Raw genomic sequence first — 6,415 nt, forward strand, 5'->3', positions numbered from 1 at the left:
GGCAACCTACAGAATGGGAGAAAATTTTCGCAACCTACTCATCTGACAAAGGGCTAATATCCAGAATCTACAATGAACTCAAACAAATTTACAAGAAATAAACAATCCCATCAAAAAGTGGGTGAAGGATATGAACAGACATTCCTCAAAAGAAGACATTTGTGCAGCCAAAAGACACCTGAAAAAATATTCATCATCACTGGCCATCAGAGAAATGCAAATCAAAATCACAATGAGATACCATCTCACACCAGTTAGAATGGCGATCTTTAAAAAGTCAGGAAACAACAGGTGCTGGAGAGGATGTGGAGAAATAGGAACACTTTTACACTGTTGGTGGGACTGTAAACTAGTTCAACCATTGTGGAAGTCAGTGTGGCAATTCCTCAGGGATCTAGAACTAGAAATACCATTTGACCCAGCCATCTCATTACTGGGTATATACCCGAAGGATTATAAATCATGCTGCTATAGAGACACATGCACACGTAGGTTTATTGCGGCACTATTCACAATAGCAAAGACTTGGAACCAACCCAAATGTCCAACGATGATAGACTGGATTAAGAAAATGTGGCACATACACACCATGGAATACTATGCAGCCATAAAAAATGATGAGTTCATGTCCTTTGTAGGGACATGGGTGAAGCTGGAAACCATCATTCTCAGCAAACTATCGCAACGACAAAAAACCAAACACCACATGTTCTCACTCATAGGTGGGAATTGAACAATGAGAACACGTGGACACAGGAAGGGGAACATCACACAGCAGGACCTGTTGTGGGGTGGGGGGAGGGGGAAGGGATAGCATTAGGAGATATACCTAATGTTAAATGAGGAGTTAATGGATGCAGCACACCAGCATGGCACATGTATACATATGTAACAAACCTGCACATTGTGCAAATGTACCCTATAACTTAAAGTATAATTTTTAAAAAGTGACCACAAATCTAAAGAAAATTGTCAAAAACAACTATTTGAAGACTCCATAAATTGTCCAAAATCATGCAACAAATTGAGATGAATTTATTCAGGAAAAGCCTCCAGGAAGGACAGTGGGAGTCTGGGGCATTTATATCGGGAGCTGCTCCCTTCCCCCACTACCTTCCAGCTTTGTTAGCATGGTAGATACTTGAAGGTAGGACAAGCTGTGAAAAATAGCAGCTTTGCTGTTGGAGGGGGGATCACTTAGTTTGAAGTGGAGCACCAAGCAACTCTATGTCCGGGGGCATTATTGAAAATAGTCGCAATCTCTGTGGCAAACAAATAGGGAAGGTCAACCACATAGCTATCCTAAGCTTGAGGTCCTAGCCAGAGCAAGCAACAAAGTGGCAAACTAGCTAGAAAATGAACAAGAAGAGTGGGGAATGAGATGATATTATTGGGACTTGATAAGTTCCTCTCTGTCTCTGGAAATTTGGAAGGCTGCACAGATGCACATGTGTAGGAGAAACCAGAAAGGGCCCTAGCCATCCATTCATCCCTGACTGAATATGAAATCTTGTGAATGCACAGAAGAAATGTGAGAGGTCCTAAAAGAAAGCAAAAGCTGAAACTGACTTGTGAACTGCCTGAATTTTGAATATGTTCCCAAACATACAGTCAAGTCAATGCAAAGAGGGTGAAAATATTACTGGGTCAAGGTAGTTGAGCATGTTTCCTGAACAATCATTGGCTAACCACTAAGCTATGCTGTCACAAGGGTGAACCCCTAAGAGGCTACCGTTAAGAATGCTAAAAAGATTATTTAAAAAAAAAAAGAAAAGAAAAACTGAGTAGAAACATCAGAGAATGCATTCTGTCAAAAAAAAGAAAAAGAAAAAAGAAAGAAAGAAAGAAAGAAAACGAAAAAAGACTCCACATGTTTGGTCCTGGAAAATTACTAAACACAGACACCAGCAACAACAATCTACAACAACAAAAAAAATCAGAATCCAGAGTTGCAACAATACATTATGTGTAACTAGACATATGCCTAGTTATAAGAACAAAAAAAATACAGACATGTAAAGAAACAAGAAAAGGTGCCCCAAACAAATGGGGTGAAAAGGCAGTCAGGAAGAGAGGCAGAGTAAGATGGCAGAATAGAAAGTTCCACCAACTGTTCCCCCATAAGGACACCAATTTAACTATCGACACAGAAGGAAAAAAATACCTTTATAAGAACCAAAAATCAGGTGAGCCCTCATAGTACTTGGTTTTAACTATGTAATGATGAAAAACACACTGAAGAGACAGAAAAAACAATCTTGAATCTCCAATGCCAGCCCCCCACACCACAACCCTGGGAGCAGTGGCATGGTGCAGACAGCATCTCTGGGTGCTGGGGAAGCACAGCAATTGTGAGGCATTGGCCTCAGTGCTGTCCTGTTAGAGCAGAAAGGGAAACTGGACCAAACTCAGCTGACACTCACCCAGGAAGGGAACATTTAACCAGCACTAGCCAGAGAGGAATTGCCAATCCCAGCGGTCCCAATTTGAGTTCCTGCAAACCTTGGCACTTAAGGCCAAAGTGCTCTGTGTCTCCAAATAAACTTGAAAGGTAGCCTAGGCCATAAGGACTGAAAGTCTTAGGTGAGTTCTAGGGCTTAACTGGGCCCAGAAGACGATGGACTTTGGGGGCACATGACGTACTGAGACATCAGCTGGGACAGCCAAGAGAGCGTTGACATCACCCCTTCTCTAACCCCAGGATGCACAGCTCACAGCTCGAAAATAGTCCCCATCCTTCCACTTGAAGAGAAGAGAGGAAGAGTGTGGGTGACTTTGTCTTGCATTTTGGATGCTAGCTCAGCCACAGCAGGATGGGGCACTAGTTAGAGTTGTAAGTCCTTTGATACAGGCCTTAGCTCCCAGACCACATTTCTAGACACGGCCTGAGCCAGAAAATAAATCCTCTGCCTTGAAGTCAAGAAACAAGTCCTGACAACATTTATCACCTAACTGAAGAACCGTTGGGCCCTGAACAACCAGATCTACACCCAGATACTGTCAAGGGCCTTGGGTGAGCCTCTGAGGCTTACTGGCTTTAGGTGAGATTCAACATATTACCAGCAGTGGTGGTGAAGGGATGAAATTCCTTCTACTTGAGAAAAGCAGAGGAAAAAGTAAAGGAGACTTTGTCTTGCACCTCAGGTACTAACTCAACCACGGCAGGGTAGAGCACCAAGCAGGCTCCTGGGGGTGTGGGGGGGGGGGGGTCCCCGATTTCAGCACTGGATTCTCGGACAGCATCTCTGGACCTGCCCTGGGCTGGAGGGGAGCTTCCTGCCCTAAAGGTTGAGTCCCAGGCCAGGGAAAATTCACAATAAGCTGACTTAACCCTTGAGCTTTAAGGAAATATCAGTGGTGTCTGGCAGAATGCTTGATGGGACTGTGGTGGGAGAGGCTTCTCTGCCTTTGGGAAAAAAAGGGAAGAGTGGGAAGCACTGTGTCTTGTGGTTTGAGTGCCACCTTAGGTGCAGTACAATAGAACACCAGGTAGACTTCTAAGCTTTTTGCCTCTAGACCCCAACTCCAAGGTGGCATCTCTGGACCCACCTTAGGCCTGGGGAAAGTCACCACCTTTAATGGAAGAACAGATGCCTGGCTGACTCTGCCACCTGCTGATTGTATAACCCCAGAACCTTGAGCAAACAAAGGCAGTACACAGGAAATGGATACAGGTGGCCTTGGGGGAGAACCAGTGTTGTGCTGGCTTCAGGTCTGACTCAGTGCAGTCATAGTGATGGTGGCTTGTGTCATTCCATCTCCAGCTTTAGACGGCTCAGAACAGGGAGACATACTCTGTTAGGAAGAAAGGGAAGAGAATAGGAGTCTCTGCCTGGTAATCCAGAGAATCCTGCTGAATCTTGTATAAGACCATTAAAGCAATATCTCTATGAGTCTGCAAGAACTACAGCATTACTGGCTTGGAATGCCCCCATAAAACAGATAAAGTTTAGATCATAACACCCAAGTCCTTTCAAATATTTTGAAAACCTGCCCAATAAGGAAGGGTACAAACAATTCCAGACTGAGAAGACTACAATGAATACATAACTCTTCAATACTCAGACACAGAGAAACCTCTGCAGGTATCAAGGCATTCCAGGAAAGCATGACATCACCAAATGAACTAAATAAGTCACCAGGAATGAATACTGGAGAAACAGAGATATGTGACCTTTTAGACACAGGATTCATAATGGCCTTTTTAAGGACACTCAAATAAATTCAAGATAACACAAAGAAGGAATTAAGAATTCTATCAGAAAAATTTAACAGAGATTAAAATAATTTGAAAGAATCAAGCAGAAGTTCTGGAGCTGAAAAATGCAATTGGCACACTGAAGAATGTACTAGAGTCCTTTAGTAGCAGAATTGATCAAGCAGAAAGAAGAATTAGTGAGCCTGAAGACAATTTATTTGAAAACACACAGGGGAGAAAAAAGGAAAAAAGAATGAACAATAAAGCACACCTACAGGAAGGAAAGAAAGAAGAATACACCACAAAAAAACCAGAAAACACATTTAAAAAATGGCAGAAGTAAGTCCTTACTTATCAATAATAACATTGAATGTAAGTGGATTAAATCCTTTAATCAAAAGACATAGACTGAATGAAAAAAAAGACTGAATGAATGAAAAAACAAGACCCATTGATCTGTTGCCATCAAGAAATACATTTCACCCATCAAGACACACATAGACTAAAAATAAAGGGATGGAAAAAGATATTTCATAGCTAAAAAAAAGAACATGAGTAGCTATAATTATCTTAGATAAAATAGATTTTGAGACAAAACTATAAGAGAAAAATGTCACTATACAATAATAAAGTGGCAAATTCAACAAGAGAATATAACAACTTTAAATATATATGTACCCAACATTAGAGAACCTATATGTATAAAGAAAATATTATTAGAGCTAAAGAGAGATGGGCCCCAATACAATAATAGCTGGAGATTTCAACACTCCACTTTCAGCATTGAACAGATCTTCCAGATACAAAATCAACAAAGAAACGTCATACTCAGTCTTCACTAAAGACCAAATGGGTCTAATAGATATTTACAGAACATTTCATTCAGTGGCTGCAGAATACACATTTTTTCTCAGCACATGAATTATTCTCAAAAAACAGGCCATATGTTAGGTCACAAAACAAGGTTTAAAACTCACAATGAAATAAAATTAGAAATTGATAACAAGAGGAATTTTGGAAACTGTACAAATACATGGATATAAACCAATGCATTCCTGAATGTCCAGTGAATCAATAAAGAAATCAAGAAAGAAACTAAAAAATGTCTTGAAACAGATGATAATGGAAACACAACATCCTAAACCTATGATCAGGGATACAGCAAAAGCAATATTAAGACTCTGTCTTTTGTAAATAGCCCAGTCTTGAGTATGTTTTTATTAGCAGAATGAAAATGGACTAATACAGTGAATTGCTGCTGGTAGAGTGGGGCATTGCTAAAAAGGTACCCAAAAATGTAGAAGCAAATTTGGAACTTGGTAACAGGAAGAGGTTGGAACAGTTTGGATGGCTCAGAAGAAGACTGGAAAATGTGGGAAAGTTTGGAACTTCCTACAGACTTGTTGAATGGCTTTGCCCAAAATGCTGATAGTGATATGGACAATAAAATCCAGGCTGAGGTGGTCCCAGATGAACAAGAGGAATTTGTTGGAAACTGGAGCAAAAGTGACTCATGTTACAGCAAAGAGACTGGTGGCATTTTGCTCCTACCCTAGAGATTTGAGAAACTTTGAACTTGAGAGAAATGATTTTGGGTATCTGGTAGAAGAAATGTCTAAGCAGAAAAGCATTTAAGAGGTGACTTGGGTGCTGTTAAAGGCATTCAGCTTTGTAAGGGAAGCAGAGCATATAAGTTCAGAAAATTTACAGCCTGACAATGTGATAGAAAAAAAAAGTCCTATTTTCTGAGGCGAAATTCAAGCCAGCTGCAGATATTTGCATAAGTAATGAGAATCTGAACGTTAATTCCCAAGACAATGGGGAAAATGTCTCCAGGGCATATCAGAGGTCTTCACAGCAGCCCTGGAAGCCAAGGAAGAAAAGATGACTTCATGGACCAGGCTAAGAGTCCCAGTGCTGGGTGCAGTCTAGGGACTTGGTGCCCTGCATCCCAGCTGCTCCAGCTGTGACTAAAAGGGGCCAAGCTACAGTTCAGGCCATGGCTTTAGAGGGTTGAAGCCCCATCTATTGGCAGCTTGCACATGGTGTTGAGTCTGTGGGTGCACAGGAGTCGAGAATTAAGGTTTGGAAACCTCCACCTATATTTCAGGAGATGTATGGAAATGCCTGGATGCCCAGGCAAAAGTTTGCTGCAGGGATGGGGTGCTCATGGGGGACCTCTGCTAGGGCAGAGCAGAAGGGAAATGTGGGGATGAA

At 41.5% G+C, this 6,415-nt stretch overlaps 1 annotated feature.

Moving 5' to 3' along the window:
- Positions 3,093-3,594: an enhancer, noted in NCBI's record as "NANOG-H3K4me1 hESC enhancer chr21:18652025-18652526 (GRCh37/hg19 assembly coordinates)". NCBI's record gives its function as "activates a minimal SCP1, AML or CMV promoter by ChIP-STARR-seq in primed H9 embryonic stem cells {active_cell/tissue: H9 hESC(primed)}" and the evidence as "EXISTENCE:reporter gene assay evidence [ECO:0000049][PMID:30033119]".

Source organism: Homo sapiens, chromosome 21, assembly GCF_000001405.40.
Source record: "Homo sapiens chromosome 21, GRCh38.p14 Primary Assembly".
Lineage (NCBI taxonomy): Eukaryota > Metazoa > Chordata > Mammalia > Primates > Hominidae > Homo > Homo sapiens.